Source organism: Homo sapiens, chromosome 7 (genome assembly GCF_000001405.40).
Source record: "Homo sapiens chromosome 7, GRCh38.p14 Primary Assembly".
NCBI classification, from domain to species: domain Eukaryota; kingdom Metazoa; phylum Chordata; class Mammalia; order Primates; family Hominidae; genus Homo; species Homo sapiens.
This window is the reverse complement of record NC_000007.14, coordinates 52,403,214-52,426,945: the sequence shown is the minus strand read 5'-3', so window position 1 is coordinate 52,426,945 and position 23,732 is coordinate 52,403,214. Positions and strand designations below refer to the sequence as shown.

Here is a 23,732-nt window from a genome sequence, read left to right as displayed (position 1 = left end):
CAGGAGGGTTGGGACAGGAAAACAAGCCTTGCTGACCTCTTACCTCACCAACATGTGTAAAGAAGGTCTCATAAAGATGACAGGACTCTTCAAATGTAATAAAATAGAAATCAAAAAATACTATATATTTGCATGTATGCACTGAAAATAAATAAGAGGAAATGTGGAAGGATAAACATGGAACTGATAATAGTGTCTTCTATAGGGGTGGGAGGGAGAAGGTGAGAGGAAGAGACTTTGGTTGGTCTTCAACAGAACTTATTTTATTCATAATGTTTATATTTTCAAGAACTATATAACCGTGGTTTACCATTTTTAAAATATGCTATTACCATCCTGATGGAAAAATTAGTGAAGAGATAAACAGAAAGCACACGAAATGGGTCACAGAAACTTCAAGGTTAGGATCATTTTCCCGATATGAATACAGTTTTTAAAATAGTTTTTCTTTTTAGTTAATGTTTTAGTTTCCATTTTTATGAACACATAATTTTTGTATAAGGTACATACGATATTTTGTTACAAGTGTAGAATATGTAATGACCAATTCAGGGTCATTGGGCCATCACCTCAATATCTATTATTTGTTTATGTTGGGAACATTCCATATCCACTCCTGTAGCTATTTTGAAATATACAATAAAATTTAACTATAGTCATCCTACTGTGTGGAAAAAGTTTTGAATCCATAGGTGGAATAAGCACACATACTGATCAAGAAATTTTTTTTAATCTGAGTAATAGCCAAGTTATTTAATATTAAAATTACAGAAGTAGAAATAATTCTGTAGGTAACTAGAGCAAAAAGGAAGCCTACATGTAAGACAGAATCACCACTTAGAGTTCTCCTCAGTAATATCTCGTATCAGAAGAGCCAGCCAGATATCGAAGCTAAGTTTGGCACCCAGCTTTTATCCCTAGCCGAAGATATTACCAAACACAATAAAATTCAGGAAGTATAACACTGATGAATGCTCCTTTTAAAAAAAATCCAGTAAAGAAGTCCAATTCAATTAAATAGAATTTCAAATAAAGTTAGCCACTGTCTCAGCTTCCCTCACATTTGTCATTAATAGAATACAAACCAATTCACCATGGTGCCTTTCTTCACTCCTTCATTTTTTCTTTTTTCTGTGTCTATATCTCTCTTTACATGGATCTATATATCTACATATATATATGTATTTATGTCTCCATCTCTGTATACCTCTACCTATATCTAGATAATTGATAGGTAGATATGTTTCTTTTAGGTAGATATGTTTCTTTTATTCTTTACCTTTAAAGTTTTTTCTTCTTTTCTACAATTGGCTATCTTCTGTGTCTCCTTGAAACTTGAAATGTGAACTCCTCCAGTCTCTACTATATTCACATCTTCCTTTCTTCTTACGTAATACAGTCTCCGTATGCTCACTGGTGCCCCCCGCCTTTTTTGTTTGTTTGTTTTCAAATATTTTTGTCCAGATTAGATGACGTTTTAAACATTATCCCTGGGATGAGGAGACATTTGATGGAGTCATCCAAGTCCCTTCAATACGATTTCAATTCATCTTCTTCTGTTAAAATAAATTTAAATTAAATTTAACAGATGCATTACTCGGCTCAGGCTACCATAACATGATACCATAATTGGGGGGGTATAAACAACAAAAATGTATTTTCTCACAATTCTGGAGGCCATAAGTTCAAGGTCAAGGTGCCAGCATGGAAGGGTTTTGGTGAAGGCTCTCTTCTTGGTTTGCAGATGGACACCTCCTTTATGTGTGTCTACACATGGCCTTTCCTCAGTATGTGTGCCTAGACAGAGAGAGATCTATCAATTCTATAAAACCCCACCCTAATTTAATTACCTCCTAAAACCCCCATTCGCTAAATGCAGTTATATTGGTGATTAGGGATTTAACACATAAATTCAGTCCATAGCACTAGATTATATTTAAAATAAATATTTGGGACCAGGAGCAGTAGCTCACGCCTATAATCCCAGCACTTTGGGAGGCTGAGGAGGGTGGATCACCTGAGGTCAGGAGTTCGAGACCATCCTGGCCAACATGACAAAACCCTGTCTCTACTGAAAACACAAAAATTAGCTGGGCGTGGTGACAGGCACCTGTAATCCCAGCTACTCGGAAGTCTGAGACAGGAAAATCACTTGAACCCAGGAGGCAGAGGTTACAGTGAGCGGAGATTGTGCCACTGCACTCCAGCCTAAGGTGACAGAGCAAGACTCTGTCTCAAAAAAATAAATAAATAAATAAAATAAAATGGCTGGGTGCGGTGACTTACGCCTGTAGTCCCGGCACTTTGGGAGGCTGAGGCAGGCGGATCACAAGGTCAGGAGATTGAGACCATCCTGGCTAACACGGTGGAACCCCATCTCTACTAAAAATACAAATAATTAGCCAGGCGTGGTGGCGGGCACATGTGGTACCAGCTACTCGGAAGGCTGAGGCAGGAGAATGGCGTGAACCTGGGAGGCAGAGCTTGCAGTGAGCCGAGATCACGTCACTTCACTCCAGCCTGGACGACAGAGTGAGACTCCGTCTCAAAAAATAAATAAATAAATAAAAATAAAAATAAAATAAATATTTGGTGAGATTTCTTTATATATAACAATATATCTGTCAACCTGTTTCTCTGAAGAGTTTTCCGATTTCTCTGAACGTTTATCCAAATCATTGTAATAAAAGATTTATGGAAAGTTATTCACCAAAAGATAATGATATTCATTTCTGATGGTGAGATTATTTCTACATTGTGTTACTTTTTACTTTCTGCTCTGTATTGATTCAGTTATTTAAAATTAGTAGGTAACATTATGACAAATTTAAAATGTCAATAATATAAAATTATAGCTTGTCAAAATAACCGTATCAATGATACAGAGTTTGCTAATGCAATGTTTCATCAAGTAAAGATGTATTATGTCAATTATGAATTGACTATTTTTGTGTATTAGACTTTGGGAATAATTGATGAAGACCTTGATCCCAGAGAGCATCTAGAAGGTGAGACTGAAAAAGAAAAAAAAAAAAAAAGTAAATTAATACAAAAAAACCCCAGAAACTTTGCTAAGTATAAAGAAAGAAGAAAAAGTAATATTCCATTAGAAGAAAATGGTTTGATAGACTAGAGAGCCAATTGAAATAAAGAGGGTGCTATAAAATTATCCCTTGATGACTCTGTCCAGAAACAGAGGAGGAAAAGGAGGAATGAATGTGGAGTGGACCCCAGGCAAGGCATGGCCTCTGTTAAAATCTTGAGACCCAGAGGAAATCTGAAGGCAAGAGAAATAGCGGAGGTTTGAGATGTTATTAGCCCAAACTATGATAGGTGAGAAACACAAATTTGTATGAATTTTCTAATATCACTTCATGATTTTATAGAATCATTCAGGGAGGAAACTTACAAAATTTTCCTTTAATCATTTTTGACTGATGTAATGAGTCCTCAACCAAGTCAGGCATAGAATCCTGCCAACAATGTGCCTGCCTAAAAATATCCAAGCAGTTGGTGCCTCCTTGCATATATTAACAAAGGCATTGAGAAGTGCAGAAGCTCAGCCTTGCTTCATCCACTATCCTTGGAATGCAAAGGGTAAATGGATGTCTACTCACTTATGAAAACTCATTTATTTCATGATGCATTATAAAATAGAGTTCTTTCCCTTCCTGACAGTTTCTGATTATTAGAATGTAGTTTTATTTTCTTTTTGGAGTTCCAGTCTCCCTGCAAAATAAGAAAGCCCTTGGAGCAGGGTACTTGACCTTCAGAGTCTGTTCTTGGAAGATGTGAAGTTCTAGAAGTGATTAATTTAAAATAGAATTGTGTCTTCTCATACAGCCCTTTGTCTTTGAAATGTTTTCTGGCAATATCTATAAAGAGTAATAAAATTGTTATAGTTTTGCCTTAATGACCTCACTGCTAGACAAAACATCTAAATAGTAATCCAGTGCACAAGACTGACGTATAATGATATTTGTTGCAATGTTATCATATTGGCTCAACAATTATAAATAATGTAATTTACTGACAAGGAATCAATATTGTATATAAAGCATGATCTCAACTTTATAATATATTAATTCTATGTAAATAAATTCATAGAAAGAATAACATTAGGAAATGCATCAAAATGTTGATGTTAATTGTTAGAATTTTATATCATTTTTTCTTTTCAATAGTTGCTTATTGTCCACATTTCAGTAAATAGCATGTGCTATTTAACATTAAGAAATATAAGAGCTTACAAGCAGAATAATTTGCACTAAATATGTAGATACGTTAAAAATAGTATAGGGACTCAGAACCATAAGTGCATACGTTCGGAATAATCCCATTGTGATGGTTAATACTGAGTGTCAAGTTGATTGGATTGAAGGATGCAAAATAGTGTTCCTGCCTGTGTCTGTAAGGGTGTTGGCAAAGGAGATTAACATCTGAGTCAGTGGGTGGGGAAAGGCAGACCCACCCTCAATCTGGGTGGGCACCATCTAATCAGCTGCCAGTGCAGCCAGAATAAAAAGCAGACAGAAGAACTTGAAAAGACTAGACTGGCTTAGCCTCTCAGCCTACATCTCTCTCCAGTGCTGCATGCTTCCTGCCCTCAAACATTGGACAAGTTATTCAGCTTTGGGACTCAGACTGGCTTCCTTTCCCCTCAGCTTGCAGGCAGCCTATTGTGGGACCTTGTGATTGTGTGAGTTAATACTACTTAATAAGCTCCCCTTTATTATATGCATATATAATAATGCATTAGATATATGTAACATATATAGAATATATATAATGAACTATTATATATATCCTATTAGTTCTGTCCCTCTAGAGAACCCTGACTAATACACCTATAGTACAGATTAATTTTGGAACCTACCATTCCATCCAGAGGAAATGAGAAAAAAATAGAAGCCAGAGTTTGTCTATTGGGGAACACAATAAGAGTTTGTTAGCTCCTCATAAAGAAGCAGGTGTTTGACAACACCCAGGGTGTTGGAGCATACACATGTGTGTAATTAGATACAGAACTCCACTGTCAAATTTGAAAAGACAAACTCCTTTTCTGTATACCTTTCTCCATAATCTTGTCTCTATTTAGGTTTAGTGTCTACACCACTGTAACCTTACAGAAGTTGTATTTTCCAGCAGTAAAATTCATTGTTTGTTTGTTTTTTTCTTAAAGGATCCATTCTCATTCTCACCTTATGCTTGTGGTGTTTTCGCACAGATTTCCCTTTAAAATGTAGTCCATGTTATGTTTTGAACATCTTTTGGTGGCCATAACTCTGGGGGACAAATTTTAGCTTCAGCCAATGTGGCATAAAGGTAAAGATGTTCATTTGCTTAAATTTCTGAAGTGCCTGTTCTGCCTGGGGCTGGCTTCCTTCCACTCGCTCAGCCCCTATAAAGGGGGCTCAGGGATTCAGCACTTATAGAGATGCTATCACTTGTTTGGATAACTTTCTTTAGCTCCTAGGAATTTCCAGATGCTTGGTTTTTAAATGGATTGCATGTAAAATACTGCCTGTTTTACTAGGACTCTGCTTACCTGCAATATTTGTTATTGCTACCAATAACAACACACCTCTCTAAAGCATAAAGAGTCTTGTACTCTTTCTCTAGTGACTTTATAAAGATAATATGAGTCATTGGGAATAAGGGAATTAAACATAGCAGAAGCATGTAGTATGAAATTCATGTATGCATCATTCTAGAATAACTACAGATACACGTGAGAAATCGGCATTGTTGCATTTCTAGCTTCAGTAAGGTAGTCAAACAAACTTTTCCTTGGGAAAGAACCTTTAAGCTGTAATGAGCCTCTTCTGTGAACCACACAGTGTATTGGACCCAGACTCTGATATTGGGGAAGTTGATTATTTTTGCATGACAAAAAAAATATTTTCTTTCTGTCTGCAGTTTCCCGGGATCAGAGTGAAAATACAGAGTTCCCATCAATGCTCCGTCCTTGGGCTGGAGTGACTTAGTCTAAAAGGCAGCCAATTCCCATACAACGGGGGGGGGGTAAAAATTGCACTCAGAAATTTCTCCCTCCATTTTTACTGAATTTCTAAGAATATTGGTAGAGATCACAGAGCAAAAGGAGCTGTGAGACTGCCATGGAGGTCAATACCAAAAAGCACAAAATCTCATCTCCTGGTTCCTGTCAGAGACACTGAAGACTGGAGGTAATTTTAAACAGGAATTAATTCATGTGTGGTGAGTTTCCCAATCATGAGATCTAGAGCAGGAATGGAATGCTTCTTCCTCACTTCAAACCTAGAGAAAGTTTTCCAAAAGGAACCAGAACTAGATGAATGTCTTGTGGTACCTGAGAGACTCAGAGCCCGGTTGGGCTCCCCCTAACTACTGAAAAATCTAAAAAAGCAAGATGCTGTGGCTTAGGAGAAAGACTGCAATAGTGGGATGGCCTAATGGCCCTGCCTAAGGGCCTGGAACCTCTCCATCTCGTTGCCTTAACTATATACTTCGCATGCATCACTAGCTGACATGTTTAGATGTATTTATTCACTCATGTACTCTCTCCCTCCTACCAGAATGCAAGCTCCATGAGAACAGGCCTCACTGGCCTTGTTTACTGCTTCGCTCCTCATCTGGACTAGAAACTGACTTTCAGACCTTGTTCCAGAGCAACCCACTGAAGGGACATCTGCATGTTTACTAAAATGGGGACATATGGAGATATATTTTCAGAGCAGTTCCGGGGCTTCTTTGAAGTTTCTGTAGATCAATGTAGGACAAGAGTAACACAAATGTGACCTATTTTATTCTCACTAGAATTTGAAAATACAAGTAAGAAAACTGAGAGTATTAATAAATGTTGTTCTGAGAGAAAAGGCATGGGAATAATGTCTCCTCCATTTGATATGAGAAATTTAAATGATGACATTCTGTATAAAGAAATCTAACATATCCTATCATCATGCTGCCAAAATAATAGCTAAGGCTTATTGTCCTTCAAGCTTGTTGTTCATTAATTTCATTAGACTTCATAGCAAAACTAGAAGGAAGCTACTCTTTTTAAACCCATTTTTTAGAAGATAAACTAATGTAACAGAATTAAGATTAAGTGATTTTCTTAAGATCATAAAGCTAAGTCAAAACAACTTGGCTTATGCAGTCATAACAGCTATAATACCCAGAAAAGCAGAGTGAGGAAAAATTCTTGGTAAGAGAAAAATGTCTCTCTCAGGAGAAGTAATTTACAATCTTTAATTGAAAAAAAACCATTAAAACTTGTTGCAAGTATGTAACCACCTTATATTTTTTAGAATTGCAGTAACATTTTCCTTAAATCATATAACTTAAAAAATATGCCATCTAACTTTAAAAATGTGCTGATTTTATTTAAGTCAATTTGAAATAAGAAAACATTAAAAAGGCAGTTACTATAAAGATGAAATAAAGAAGTCAGAAGTAAAGGTATGTGAGAAAATTGGGTCTTGTCTGATGTATAATGTTCATTTACAAAGCTCAGATCTCAACCACCTTAGAGGGAAGGCAAAAGTAGAAGGATGATTTATGTTTAAAGATAAACGTAGACACATTAAAATTTTAAAGAGTTCATTTGAGCAGACAGCAATTCATGAATTAGGCAGCTCCAGACCACAAGTGGTTTGGGGCTCCTTGGAAAGGGCATGAAAGGAAAGTATATATAAGGTGAACATAGTATCAAGACAAAGAAAACATAACTGGTTACAGTGGAACAGTAGCCTTATTTGGATCATTCCCGTGAAAGGTTCCTAGCTAGAGGTTAGTTGGTGGCTTCAAATTGGTTAAGCTTATATTTCATTATCCCAGACTATGACCATTTACACTGAGCTGGGTTTTGATTTGCTTACGTGAAATCCAGGGCACAGGACACTCCTCAGTCTAATAGCTCCTGTGCCCTGGATTCTGAATTAATTGTTTTAACACGTTTTCATCTCCTCTTCTGATATAGAGTATCCCAAACTAGCTGCACAAAATGGGCTTCCTCTGACATAATGGAGGCATACATTTTTTTTCTTTCATTATTATGTAAAAGAAAATAAGTCAGTGTCTAATAAGGTCCAGATTTCAGCAAATTCAAGTGGCTTTTGGTGCATTCTGAAGACACATAAATCTCCCTAATTTTCAGTTTAGTTTAATATATACTTCCATAAAGGCATTATTCTGTAATGGCCATACAGAGACAACCTGACCCAGCGAAGGGAGGTAGCCCAGCATGCTGCATTAAAAGACCTTCTTAGCTAAATTTGTTCGTGCATCTTCTTAGCACCCAGAATACAGCACTTTTTCTTATTTTAATGGTAATTTAAATTTAAAATGAAATGATACATCCTCTCTCATTTTAAAAACATGTCCCTTTAAATTTTTCAATGGAAATGCCCTAATGAATAAAGAGACATAAGTTAAAAATATGAAAGATGTACATCAATTAACCAGTGAGTGAAATACAGAGGATAAGAGAGTTGCTGGCCAAAAGTCACTAGGGAGTATGTGCAGAGACCCTACCTCCAATGGGTAGCCTGAGGAACATGTTGGACTTCCTCCACCATACCCCAGATATTAACGAGAGGTGTGTGTGGCAAGGTTTTTCAATATCTACTAAGGCTACTGCTAAGCTCTTAAGATGTTTTCTCCTTATTACTAGACTAAATATTTACTCCATATTTATCTCAAATACTAACAACTTTCAATAACATTCTAGCTGAAAGGCTAAATTGTACTGAGAAATTTAACTTGTGTCAGACTTCCAAGGAAGTTACTTTTTTGGTCACAACAAAGCAAAACTGAAATTAAGGAAGCAACACAAAATGTCAGAAGATCACAGATCATGTCAGAAGCCTAAAAGGGAAGTTGTTTAAGGAGAACAATCAATTGCAAGTGGCTTCCTCTGCATCTGATGGCCCTTAGGTTTGCAGTGAGCGTCTACCTGGTCCTCAAACGCCTCGTTGATGAAATGTCAAGTGTCCTCATCAGCGGAGGAGAGCGGTCAGGATGAGTGCATCATCTGCATGGTCCTAGAGTATGTGCTGCAGGCTGAATTTATCTGAAATGCCACATTTTGCAAATGAAGTTTCAAGGATTTATAAAATGGGAGAATGTTCAGCAAATTTGAAAGACTTAAGGGCAATGATAATTCAAAAATGATTAATAATTTATATACTTGGGAATGCATTTTATTATTTTGTTGGTGACCACAAAACACTGTATTCCTGGTCTTCTGCACATGTCCTTAACTCATAAGCAGTAGTTATAACACGGCTATAATGCCACACATTCTTTCCAATTGAGAATATGTAACATATAAATTGCTATTAAATTTTATGGAACTATGCTGTCATTTTTATTAAATAAAAGTTTTCTTATGACTAGGTACATTTTTAAGTAATTGATATTTTGAGGTGTCTTCTAATAGTTCATTCATCAAATGTAATAATTTTATAAAAAGTTGAATGTAATTAAAACTATATGAATTTAAATTCTGATTACAATGATTCAGCTGAAAGACACAATTTATATCTTCTCTGCCAAAAGGAGATAATGATATGATGCTAATCCTTACAGTAACTCTGCCATAGATAAATGCAAATTTCATTTTTATAGTAAGAAGTTTATAATAGCTTTAAAAATCAGTGGTTCATTTGTATTATTTTCTATTTGCCTTCAGGCAACCTTCAGGTGCCAATGTCAATGTAATTTCTTTAACTGTGAAAATTCATTGAAGAAACCATTTATTTATTTATTTATTTATTTATTTATTTATTTATTGAGATGGAGTCTCGCTCTGTCACCCAGGCTGGAGTGCAGTGGTGCATCTCGGCTCACTGCAAGCTCTGCCTCCCAGGTTTTACGCCATTCTCCTGCCTCAGCCTCCCAAGTAGCTGGGACTACAGGCGCCCGCCACCACGCCCGGCTAATTTTTTGTATTTTTTTAGTAGAGGCGGGGTTTCACCATGTTAGCCAGGATGGTCTCGATCTCCTGACCTCGTGATCCATCCGCCTCGGCCTCCCAAAGTGCTGGGATTACAGGCGTGATCCATCGTGCCCAGCCGAAACCATTTATTATAGTTGATGATCGTGATGACAGTGATAATAGCTGCCACTTATTGAAAATGAACTATGTACTAGTTTTCCCATTAAGATTTCTCTACTAACTGCATAATAAATATCTGGAGAAAATTTAAAAACAGAAACAAAAAACATGAAATATATGCCTGGGTCTCCCCTGAGACCAACTGAAAATCGAAGTCGGGAGTGGGCCTTTGATTCTACATTTTAGGTTCTTGGGTGATTGTGCCGCACAGGTGGAGAACACTGAACGTCCTACCCTGAACGTTTTACATGAATTCTCTCACTCAATCTTCAAGTCATCGCGAGTTAGCTCCATTGAATGATTCGAGAAATTAGGCTGCGAAGAGTTTAAATAATGTGCTCAGCTTTTCACACAGTCATTCATATGTGAGGCCTGAATTTGATACAAGTTATTCTAACCAAAAGCTTTGAGAACTACTTCGGTGAGATAGGCAACTGAAGAGGCTTGATTTTTTCCTCCATATTTATATTTATTTTTGGTAATTCACATTCACACTAGATAGAAGATAGCTGAGAGTTACGTAAATGTATACATAAATATGCACATAAAAACTCACAGTACATTCATGAATTAGACAGATAGGTAGAAAATGTCTATAAATAGTATGGAAACTTATTTACTCTGTCTGTGAAAGTACTTATTTTCTCATTTGGAATATGCTTCACTAGAATTACTATAGCCATGGCACCATGTTAAGACTCAACTGACCTCTTTCTTCCTCTCTCTTTTCTTGGATCATTCCCATTAAAAGTTGTTCACCACCACCACCTCTTCCAAACACTTCTTCTCTATGGGTTCTGCTACTCTTCTCAGGGTTTTCTTACCACGTTTTTGGCATCTTCTGTTCAGTCTCCCTGAATGTTCTTTGCCTCTTTTATTTCAGAGTTTCTTGTGGTTTCGTCCTTGACAAACTTTTCAGGTAAAAAGAAAGGATTATTTAGAATTATGGTATTTGACATTAATTTTCAATTTATTAAAGTTAAAAATTTAAAAATATGGGCTCCTCTAGCCTTAAAGTTCAACTTTTGAAATTCATTATACATTGTTTTCATCTGAGGAATAAAGAAAAAAATAGCACCTTTGCTTGTGGTTGCAGTAAGGTTCAATTAACCTAGGTTGAACAGATTAAATTCCCTTTAAACCCTTGTAAAACCAAGTTAATTAAATTTCTTTTAATGTATTGAACTATATGAATTTTTATATTCTTTGTGTTTTCACATGTCTTACAGGGAGAATTTACATGCTTAACAAAAAGTGATCTTCAAAAGCATTTAAACAACTTTTGTAAATACAATATACTAAATTTAGAAATACAGTAAATGACATTATGTCAAACCACAGTACAATAATGCACTTAAGGAAATTGTCTTTTGCTTTGCTGCTTAAAATGAAAGCCTAACTTCTACATTTCCCTTAAACTTTAAGAAAATCTTGTTTTTTTAAAAAAAAAATTTAAGCATAATTACTTACATTAAAATGCACAGATCAAAAGGGCCTATTTCCGTAGAAAGTTTTTGACAAATGTAATATACAACCTACATAAAATATAGGACATTTTCATTACCTCCAGAAAGTTACCTTGTATTAAGATTCTTGAAAAAAAATGAACATTTACTAACCAAACAAACAATATACAGTGATATTAGTATCATGGCTTTGATATACATTGCAAAATCTATACCTAATTATTTAGCTTTCCAAGCTTAAAAAATCACCTACCCTTAGCAGTGTTTCTCAATTCAATGCAGTGTTACCCCACAGGGTTACAGCAGTGTAGGGAGACATTTCTGGTTGTCACAACTGGGAGATGCTACTTGCATCTAGTGAGCGCAGGCCAGGGATGCTGTTAAACATCTTATTATGCAAAGACTATTCCCATTCCCCAATGAAGCATTATCCAACCTAATATATCAGTAATGCTGATATGGAAAAGCGTTGTTCTAAAGGAGGCAGATTCATCATCCCAGACTGCTAAACTGTGTCCAAATCTATCCATGTTATGTTTGCTTATTTAAAAGAGATGTAACCCTATCATATGTCCAGGATATTTCTGCACTAACCAGAAAAACACATATTAAACTCTTTAGATAGTTGACATATCTACAAGGGACTCCTCCCTCTCACCATGAACATACTTATCTGAGATAATTCTGAAAACACATCACCTTTGATCAAGATATACCATAATCAATTGCTTGGTATTATATTTTAAAAATTGTATCACTTGACTCAAGCTTTACCCACAACTCAAAATATATTTTTATGTCTTCCCCTTTTATTGTGAGTAACTTTCAAATATATATTTTGGGTCACAATTCTAAAATCAGTATGATGGCAACTCTCCCAAGATAATTTAATTTATTCTTATTTTTGAGAACCATCTATAATTATATTATTTCTGCTATTACAACCTTTAACTCCTTTAGTATCTTTGTTTTAGTAAAACATACAAGCCAGAAGCATATGTTTCATCGCTGAATGTCAATGTAGCATACACAAAATATACCAATCTATTGATTCTTCCTATGCCTCAAATATCTTCCAAATCGATGCCTCTCTATGCATTTGTCCCCAGTCACCCCCATTTTATTCTAAACCTCAGACTGGTGACTTACTTTCTTATCTTTTCTTTTATTTTATTTTGCTTTTTCTTTCTTTTTCTTCCCCTCTTCCTGTCTCCTTCCTTCCTTCTTTTCTTTTGCTTTTTCTTCCTTTTTCTTCCCCCTTCCTCTCTCCTTCCTTCCTTCCTTCTTTCTCTCTTTCTTTCTCTTTCTTTCTCCTTCTCTTTCCCTCCCTCCCTCCCTTCCTCTCCTTGCTTCCTTCCTTTCTTCCTCCCTCCCTCCCTTTCTCTTTTTCTTTCTTTCTTTGTTTCCCTCCCTCCCTTTCCTTCCTTCCTTCCTCTCTCTTCCTTTCTTCCTTTCTTTCTTTCCTTCTTTCTTTCTTTCTTTTTTCTTCTGTTTTATTTGCATTATTGTATCAAAAATTATATTGTAAAAGTGAAAAATGTTTGTATCTGTCTGGATTCAAAGCCCTCAGTGTTTTCTATCACTGCATGCCGAAACTCTCAAACCTTCATTATCCTAGAGGGGGTAGAATTGTGTTTTTCATACATCTGTAGTATTTAGCTGATATAGGCAGGGCTTGGCTGGATGGCATATGCGGAAAAGGCTACTTTTGCTCATGTATAGTCCGATCAGCTGGTTCACTTTATGCATCAGTGGATGTCTTGTGATCTTCTCTAGGTGGAATTTGTCTAAGGTTGCTCAGCTGGGATGCTTAGCTAGAAAAAATCTATTCCCAGTGATTTTCATCACCTCCTGTCACCAGAAGGTTCATCTCTCTCACAGTTTTGACAGAGGTACAAGAGTATAAGAAGCTTGTAAGACGTGTTGAGGCCTATATTCAGAAACTGGTACTGTTTTTTTTTTTTTGTTTTCATTTCAGTCTATTGTCCAAAGCAAGTATATGCCTGAAAAGCGAAGGAAACTTTTTTATGGGAGCTTGTTATTACACAAAGAACAAAGAGCTTCTGTGTTGGACCCTGTCTGCTTATCTGTCTGCAGGAGTGGCCTGAGTTTTTTCCCAGGTTGTTTTATGTGCTATGGCTGGTCCCAGGGATAGAGAGAGTGGCCACTATGAAGTCATATGGCAAAGGGCATGGACACAGGAACGTAAAGAATCAGTGCCATGCATGCATCTACGCATCTTCCCATTGCTTTTACTGCACATGGCAAATTCCCTCACATGGCTGCTACCACCTGCCCCGAGCTTGCCTCACGTACTGTACCACACTTACTTACAATTATTCCTCCTTTCTCACCTTTCATCCCAGACAAACTTAACTTTCAGCTTTTCAAATTCACCATTCTCTCAACTGAGCCTTTGCACATCCTGGGGTTTAATTATAGTTTGCTTTTGTCTGCATATTCTTCAGTCTTCAGTTTCAGTATTACTTATTTAAGAACACTAGTGCAAATCCCTAGGTTGCTTAAAATTTTCCTTATTTGATTTTTATTGCTCCTTGAATTTTTCTCATGCACTCACTTGTAATTACTTTGCTAATACTTTTATCTCTAGTAGATCATAGGCCTTATGGTTGCAAAAGCTGTGTGTGATTATAACTTTATTACCCAATGGATTAATTTTGTTAAAACTGCCTCCAAACATTTATTATTTTTATAGCCTGTTATAACTCTGTTACTTAATGGGTTTTGCTTATTTGTCTATTTTATGATGAAAATTTGTATCAAGGAAAGGACAAGAAAAGAAAAAGAAATCAATATTTACTGAATGCCTATGGTGTACTGAGCTGTTTTACATTCTATCATATTTGATTGTGAGAGGTATTTAGACTACTGTTTAACTGATTTTGAACTGAAATTTTGAGAGGTTAAATCACCAATGCAAGTAACACAGAATTAACTTGCTGACCTGGAAAGCAACCCAGATGTAAAAGGCTCTTTCCTTTACTGTAATTTTAATTTTCAATGTTATCAGAAGAGCTCGTATTACTCTTCTCTCTTGCTTCCAATATAGAAAACGCAACTTTTCCTTCAATTCTTTCTTTGCATAATTCAATATTATTCTCACACAGTTTATTGATTAGTCAGGTTTTTGCTCTTTTAAAAAAATTATGTTCCTTGGTTACAATTAAATAAAGTTTTTAACCTAACCATAAGAAAAATAGCTTATAAAGTAAATGCAAACAACATTATTTCCGTAGATTAATAAAATTCTCTCAAAATCATTTAAAGGATAAAGAAGAGAATTTGGGTGCCCTCAAATAAAACTCAGGTGATCAATATTCATAAGTCAGCTTATAATCAACTTTTTAAATTAATTTTTTGCCTCAATGGTATTTGCTTAATTGAAAATGACATGTTTCACAATCTCAAAAGAAGAAATATTATATTAGTCAAGAGACACCAATTACTATTAAAAAATTACTGCATGGATTAAGCAGGGAACACGTTTCTTCCTCAGTTAAGATTAATGGGTGAAATTATAGCTATGCAGCTTCCAAGTGGCAAATTCAGGAACTAGAGCTCCTTCTATCCTGTGACCACCATTTTTTAGCCCTTGACCTCTAGCCTCATGAACAAGGAAGAGAGCCTGGGAAACCCCGCTTGGCACTTCAGCATCAAAGTCCATTGGCCAGAATTAGACACATGGACTCATCTCCTTGCAAGTGGACCAGGAAATAAGTGAAACACTAAAATGTGGAATAGTCCTCATAAGTCAGATGACTACATATTGAAACCCAGAAAATTTCTGGAAGCCAGAGTATGTTCCCAAAGTTTGAACTGGGGCATGGATTTTATCATGCTTCTTCAAAATTATCTGGACATGATTTTTCTAAGTTTCCCCAATTATCAGCTAAACTTGGTCTTCACTCGATCACTTACTGTAGTCAACTGACGTGCCCTGTTCCAGTGATCAGGTAAAGGTTTCACTTGGATGAAGCTTAGTGCAGCACTCTTGCACAAGATATCTGTAGACCAGGATGAGGTACAGGTTGTGATATGAGGTCCCCAGAAACTTCTGCTCTCCAATAGTGATGGAGAAGGAAAGGAAAAATCAGTTGGGGAAAACTTAGACTGCAGAAGTGGCCTGCCTGAAAAGTCACAGCAATAGGTAAAAATAAAACAACCTGGGAAAAAACTCAGGCTGCACCTACACACAGATAAGCAGACAGGGTCCAGTACAGAAGCCCTTTGTTCTTTGTATAATTACAGAGCTCCCAAGAAAAAGTTTCCTTCCATTTTCAGGCATATACACGGTGGGCTCCATGTAAACAGGCACAGGGAGGAGGGGTCTTAACTAAAACAAACCCACAGTTATACCTACAAGAGAAGTAGTGCTTTGTGCTTGCCTAGAGACATACCCACAGCTGTATAAGATAAGGGGAGTTGCACAGACAGCTTTACTAATAAAAAGTTACTCAAACAGTTACATGGAGGAGAACAGTTTCTTATAAAAGTTTCTTGCATTCAGCTGTAACCCGGCAATCCACTCGGACTCCCCTCTCTGCTGCAGAGAGCTTTCTTTTTTCACTTATTAAACTTTTGCTCCAACCTCACCCTTGTGTCTGTGTTCCTTAATTTTCTTGGACATAGGACAAGGAACCCCAGGTACTAGCTCAGACAATGAGAAACTGCTACACTAAGGTGCATTGACAAGACAACAATAGCATTGATAACGGAACCATTCCTCCCCAAACACAATCTTTCAGCTACTCATAACATCTCAGCAATAACTATGCAACCAAAGTAGTCCCACTTCTTCAAGGATATTATTGCACATGGCAGTCATTGTAAATTCCCTATCCATACCACCTACCCAAGCAAATTCCTGCTTCTAATTTCCTCATGTATAGGCTTATTATTTATTATAATCTTATATGCTCTAAAGTATTATTGCTATGGGTTTTGGTAAATGGGCATGACAGACTGGAGCAGAGGTATGATGGGTGAGACACGGACAAAGGAATGTCTACCGTAATCTTGCTGGTGACTACAAAGGTTGACTCCTCTAGATACAATGATGTCATATTGACTAAATTAAACACAGTGACAAAATTCTGGCCAGCAAAGGATGAGCTCACTGTCCCAGGCATTCTGACCATCCAGGAAACATCAATCACTCCAGCACACAGGTACAATGAGCTCAATGAGCTCACTGGGATTGAGATTCTCTCTCTCTCTGTCTGTCTCTCTCTCCCTCCCTCCATCCCTCTCTTTTTCAAGCACCCATGGCAGCTGGAACAGCCTCAAGATTTCGGATTTCTTACCGCCTTCAGTGGGCATCAAATGCCTTTCTGAACAATTCTTCACTTACTTGATCTTTAGAAGCAATATTAGAATTTCTACAATATTTAAGTTTGAGTGTCTGTTTTTAATCATTATAGTTGTTATAAGAATTGTATATACTTTTGTTATCTCATAGGATCAACATTCTACAGACTCTTTTTACACTTTCTAAATTGTGAATTAAATCAAAGGTTTGCTCTCTCTTTAACATGTGTCTCTCTTAATGTTATCTTTGGGTGACTTATATGATAAGCCTAAAAAAATCGTAGTTAGTTTTGTTTGCCATTGATTATAAAAATCAATAAGTAAATTATGTTCATCTTTTATGAGTTAGCAGAATTATATATGTCATATACAGTGTTTTTACTATAATATTAAATACATTTTGTTCACATCAACAAAAAAAACATGAGAACTCAAAATGGTTTTATCCGAAATGGCAAATGCTGAAATAACCATTGATATTTTTCATAGGGTTATTAGATTTTTTTAAAAAAAAGTTCTGCCTTTTTTGATTTCAGCAAACAAGTGGCAATGTTTTTTATGCCAAGAAGATCAAATTAGTCTTGGTGGCTGTACTATTAGACATTACCCTTTGTATGAACAACTATGCCAATTGGTTTACTCTTGCAACATGAAGGCCAGGTTCACACCACTATTTGAAGCCTAGAGTGTTTTATATGACTCTAGCAGAGACAAGATCCTGGGAATTTACAGTAGAAAGATTCTTTTTTGTCAGTTGGTCAACTGTTGCTTAATTATGTCATTTAACCAAGTCATTTTTTGGACTTTAGTTCTTTCGGCTGTATTTTCAGTATTGTATTACCGGATAGTTCTTGATATTTTGTGATTATTTATCCTACAACTTTAATAACCTAAAATTTATTAACCTGTAGCCTGTGAGCCCCCAGGTAAGGAGGCTGTGTCTACTTTAACAGTCATAATTGTCTGAAATGGCAGGTAAGCATTCTTATATTCATATAATCGTATTTCTGATGATTAGTGTTAATGCATACAAATGCCATCAGAAAAATAATGTTGGTAGAAATATGGATATTAAAGGCTATTCTGATGAGGTCTGACACTGAAATAATGAGCTGTTTATTTAGAAAATGGAGCAGAGGTGATTCTTCTTATAAAGTGGAAAAGAACTTGGTTGAATTTATTTTCAGTGTTTTGGGGAAAGTAATACAAACAAGGGATAAAATTGTATATTTAGATGAGGGGATTTCTACGCAAACTGTACAAAGAGCAACTGGGCTTCTCCATGCTGTTTCTAGTAAAATGTGAGATAAGAGATTAAAATGAAGAGATATTTAAGCTTAAAGAAAATGTATCTTAAAGATTTGAAAAAGATAAGCCTATTCATATTGCAAAAACCTGAGGAAGACTGTTCAAGAGAAAACCAAGGGTGTGGTTGGACAATCACTCCTAAAAGAGATTATCCATGATGTTAACCAGCCCTATAGGCAGAAGCCAGGAATATAGATGGAATTATTATGCAAGCAGAGATGCAGTCAGTTTGGACCAAAGGCACAGGACTGGACTATAGAGCTCTTCAGCACTGACTATGATTTATTCCTCAAGATAAGGGAAGAGTGACTCTGAAGGTAATTCAGAGATCACCAGGCCCACCAAAGGCCCTGGGAGCAAGGCTGCCTCCACTTTAGTTTCAAAAAGGTTGAGCCATCTCTGTGGTTTCAACAGGTCCGGCTGCTGCCCCAGCCCAGCAAAGCTTGTGGGACAAGACCATCACCCAGCAGGCCCAGAAGTGGGGGCACCAAGCCAGAGAGGGCTACCTTCATGTCTTTAGTTCCAACAGAAGTTGTTTTGCTAGGTCTTGGACTTGCCTGCAGCCTCTCACCCCTTTGTTCCTTTTGATGTATCCCTCTTAGAATGAAAAAGTTTCATTCTAAACTTTTATGCCTGCTCCTCCATCATATTTTGGAAGTGGATAAGTTGTCTAGTTTCACAGGTTCACAGCTGGAGAGAAACTTCCTCAAGATGAATTGTACCTACATTTTCAAACATCTGTGACCTAGATATTTAGATGATACTTTTGACTTTAGAGTTGATGCTAGAATGATTTAAGATATGGGGGACTGTTGGGATGGAATAAATGCAAGACATGAATTTTGGAAAGCCAGGGTGGAGGTATTGGATTGAATGTTTGTGCCCCTCGTAAAATTCATATGTTGAAACCCTAACTCCCTGTGTGGCTGTATTTGGAGATGGCGCCTCTACAGAAGTACTGTAGGTTAAATGAGGTCATGAGGTTGGGGCCCTCCTCTGGTAGGATTATAAGAAAAGACACCAAACATATCTGTTGTTCTCTCTCTCCCTAATGTACCCAGAGGAAAGGCCTTATGATGACAAAGCAGCTGTCTACAGACCAAGAAGAGAGCCCTCACTTTAAATGAAACACACCAGACCTTGATCTGGGATTTCCAGCCTGCAGAACTATGAGAAATAAATTTCTGTCATTTAAGCCACCCAGTCTATGGTATTCTGTTATGGCAGCCTGAGAAGACTACATAGTTATGAAAGAATGGCAAAACTAATTCTAAACACTGGTCATAAACATAGGCATTTCCATATTATGTGATTTAAATGATTTAGAGAGCATTCGTGTTCTAAAATTTCTTGTGCACTTTGGTGCCTAAATGACTTAAATTCCACAAGTAAGAATTATCTCCTTTTGGTTTATTTTCTTCCTTTCTCATAAGCAAATATTTAAGAGGCAAAGCCAAGATTCTAAATATTTTCTAGAGGTGAGGTGACTGGAAGGCTATTGTGAGGGAGAGAAAAGGAGCAGATAGCGTGGTAGAGACTTATTGAAGGTTCCTTACAGCCACTTCACTATCTGCCTTCCCCGACCTTCGAGAGTGGCATGCTGACAAATTAAAACCGCAAGTATCTCTTTATTTTCTGTTTGTCATTACAGTACATCTCACTCTATTGCCAACAGTTTGAATGTGACATAACTGCATTCTAAAATGATAACTCAAACTGGCCTTCAGAAATGCAATTACACAGCTGCTTGTCAACAAAGATTAATATACTACTACATTCCCAATGCAAACACATACCCCATCACCACTGCCACTGCCGCCGTAACACACCTTATGTATAAACCAAGAACGTTGGCTTTAAATATCTCCTAGTAAAATCTGTGTTTGTTAAATGAAGAACCCACATTCCCTATTCCCCAGTGAAAATAATAATTCAGCATTAGTCAAAATAAAATGTTTGATGTTTTATAACAATAAATATTTGCTTCCAGAATCTCTTATTATTTTATCTATTTGTTTTGGGACAAATGAAGACAAACTAATTTCAAACTGGATTAATAAAGTAGAGAAAGCTGTTCAAGTTTAGACTCCATAAGCAAGAGAAAATATTATGATTGCATTGAGGCAATTGTTACATAGAATCTAAAATAATATGCAGAAAGCATAATAAAATCTAGAGATGAAAAGTTTAAAATTCCATCAAAATACAAAGTTGGTTTTTGAGTTTAATAAAAAGGTAGGTAAATAATTTCTACAAATCTTTATACCCAAATTATAGGATATTAGAAATGAATAAAAACACACAACTAAATGTTGATATAAGGGAAAGTTGAAATATTTAGTATGGTTCAAAAAAGAGCTCCTTTTAGGTATGGAAAGTTTGAAGCCTGCTCTTAGATGTATCTCTGTCATTATAAAACCATCTGTTGTGGAAATGTCGTTTGGTTGTAAATAATCTCAGAGAAAACATAAATCTGGTAAGAGGCCTAGCACTGCAGATTCATCATTCTGATTCTATAAACACTTCTTGAATGCCCACTGTGCACAGTTCTGGGCATCTCTGGCAAACTCTGGACCCCTGGCACCAGGTAAAGGGCAGAGCCAAACCCTGCTCCTTTGCCTTCTAAGAAGGCCCATTTTAAAGTGCATAGAGGAAAACATATATTGTTTTAAAGACACTGAGGAAAGTGAAAGGAGTTGTAAAATCTCCCTCTGTAATGCGTTTCAATGTTAATACGGTAAAGTTTTTCTGAAATGAATAGATGAATTCAACCTTGACTGGCAGCTTTCACAGTGCTTTCATTTTGAAAACAATCTAATCCTATAGCCCCAGAGTTACTACCAAATGCAACTTAATACTGTATGTGGCACACAAAATCCATTTTTTATTCTTTTATCTCAGAAGACAAGACATGGAGAAACCTGGCCAAAACACTCTGTGAGAATGCTTCATGTACTCACAGATATTAGAGATAGTATTATGATTACAAAATCATAGCTGTGGATAAAAATTCTTCTGAATCCCAGGGTAGAGAAGAATGACTCATGAAAATAGATGCATTCAAGAGACTCAGTATTATAAACTACTTTGCATTGCTTTATTTTTTTAAGAATGTCTTCCATCACTTTTGGAACAGTAACATTTAATTTTTTGTGATCTTAAAAACTTTTGGTGTAAGAGACTTAATTCAATGGTTCTAAGGTACATGTCATATAATACTGTACTTTGACTCCCTTCTCTGATCCACAATTCCCTCCAGGGGTGACTGCTCTAAGTTGTATATACCGCTTTAAGCTATAAAATCATTATTTTGAGCTCTTTATGCAATAAAACTCAGAGCAGTGCATCCCAGATTATAAATATATTAAAATTCCTGGGCCGTACTTTTGGAGATTCTGATTTAACGGGACTAGAGGTTGGGGGAGGAATCTGAATGTTAAGTTCATCTTTACCCCTCAAGTGTTTCTGAAGCAAGTGGCTTACTGAGCACCTGCTCTAGAAGCACTAACCTATAGGAAACGACAAAAGAATGTTTTTGTTCTTGTTCTTATGAAATGTACACTGAAGTATCATGGAAATGGAGCACACCCCCTCCAAATTTCTCTCAAATGTTTCAGAGAGGGAGAGGGAGGGGTAAGACAAACAGGACAAGACCTAAATGATTGCTGAATCTTAGTAACCCACATATGAGAATTCATTGTATTGTTTTGCAACTTTACGCTAAGTTTTAAATTATATCCAAAATACAAGAAGTCCCTGTTGGGATGGAGTTTGTAATTGATATAGGAAAAAGAGAAGAGGGGAATAGGGGAACTCAGGGTATCTTAGGATTACAGTGTAGAAACTGGAGGGTGGTTACTACTATAGGAGAAACAAAAGCATAAATGTACATTAAATAGCTTTTGTGTGTGCATGTGTGTTCACAGTCATATGTATCTTAATGTGTGTTATATTCCTATATATAATACACACATACGCAAAATTCACGTAATAATGCAATCCTTAAACTCTATTAGATTTGTACTGTAATTACCTTTATCAGATGAGGAGATAAACTCACCATCTTAATTAGTTTTATGCATGTTTTTATGAATATTTATTTTTCATATTTATATATCTTAGTCTTTTCAGGCTGCTATAACAAACTACCCTGGACTACATGGCTTATAAACAGAAATTGATTTCTTTTATTTTTTTTTTTTGAGACAGAGTCTCGCTCTATCGCCCATGCTGGAGTGCAGTGGTGTGACTTCAGCTCACTGCAATCTCCACCTCTCGGGTTCAAGTGATTCTCCTGCCTCAGCCTTCCGAGTAGCTGGGACTACAGGCACGTGCCACCACGCCCAGCTAAATTTTTTGTATTTTTAGTAGAGACAGGGTTTCGCCATGTTGGCCAGGCAGCTCTCAAACTCCTGACCTCAGGTGATCCACCTGCCTGGGCCTCCCAAAGTGCTGGGATTACAGACGTGAGCCATTGTGCCCGGCCCCCAGAAATTGATTTCTTACGGTTCTGGGAGCTGGGAAGGCCAAGGTGAAGTCACCAGCAGATTCAGTATCTGGTGCCTGTCACCTAGTTCACAGAGGGCACCTTCTAGCTCTGCCCTCACATGATGGAAAAGGCAGTGTTTTTTGGCAGCCTCTCGCATAAGGGCAGTAATCTCATTGCTTAGTATCACTTTCAGCCATTTGTTCTTCAAATGTTTATTTCTGTCCCCATCCCTCTATTTTCCCCTTTAAAAATTCAACTATACATGTCTTAGGCTGCTTTAAGTTATTTCATAGCTCACTGATGTTCTCTTCATGTATTTTTCTAGGCTTGTTTTTCCTATGAGGTTCTTTTTGGATAGTTTTTACTGGTATGTCCTCAAGTTCACTAATCTTCTGCAATATCTAATCAGCCATTTATCTCCTCTACTGGATTTTTCATCTCAGACACTGTAGTTTTCATCTAGTATTTTGAAGATACAGTTTTCCCTATATCTTCCATGTCCATTCTTGATGTGTCCAGTCTTTCACTTTCCAAACACATTGAATATAGTCAGATTCACTGCATTAACTGTTTTAATGTCCTAGTCTGCTAATGCTATCATCTTGTCAGCTCTGGGATGGTTTTAATTGATTGGTTTTCTTCTCTTTATGTGTCATATTCCACCAATGATGAGTTATATTTTATGATAGTACCTGATGCAAGTTTTAACTTGCAGGGTGCTGGATATTTTTGTATTCCTACAAATCATCAGAAACTTTGCTCTGATGTACAATTAAGTTCCATGGAAACAATTTCATCTTTCCAAGAATTATTTGGTTGGACCAGAGGAATACGTAGCCTAGGGCTAATTTTGCCTAACTAATGAGACACTTCCTAGTAGCCTACTTTTCACCTTGTTAAGTTTTCCAGTTGGGGACTGGGGAAGAAAACTAATACAGGTCCTGTGAATGCTTTAGGTGTCATTCAATGCAATATTTTCAGATGAATCTTTCTCCAGTCTTGGGTCTTTTCCTAACATGAATATGCTGCCCTGTACTCA

The 23,732-nt window shown here is 36.7% G+C and overlaps 1 long non-coding RNA gene across 2 annotated transcripts in view; it reads right to left on the bottom strand.

The window, feature by feature from the left end:
- Positions 1-236: 236 nt before the first annotated feature.
- LOC124901810 (uncharacterized) overlaps positions 237-23,732 on the bottom strand; it is a 152,886-nt gene continuing 129,390 nt past the window's right edge. Inside the window, exons 2-4 of one of the 2 annotated variants that reach the window (XR_007060637.1) lie at positions 10,811-11,013; positions 1,667-1,797; positions 237-1,556 (exon numbers count right to left, since the gene is read on the bottom strand). This is a non-coding gene — a long non-coding RNA (uncharacterized LOC124901810). The remainder of the gene's footprint in view (positions 1,557-1,666; positions 1,798-10,810; positions 11,014-23,732) is intronic. The other variant, XR_007060636.1, reaches the window with a different exon arrangement.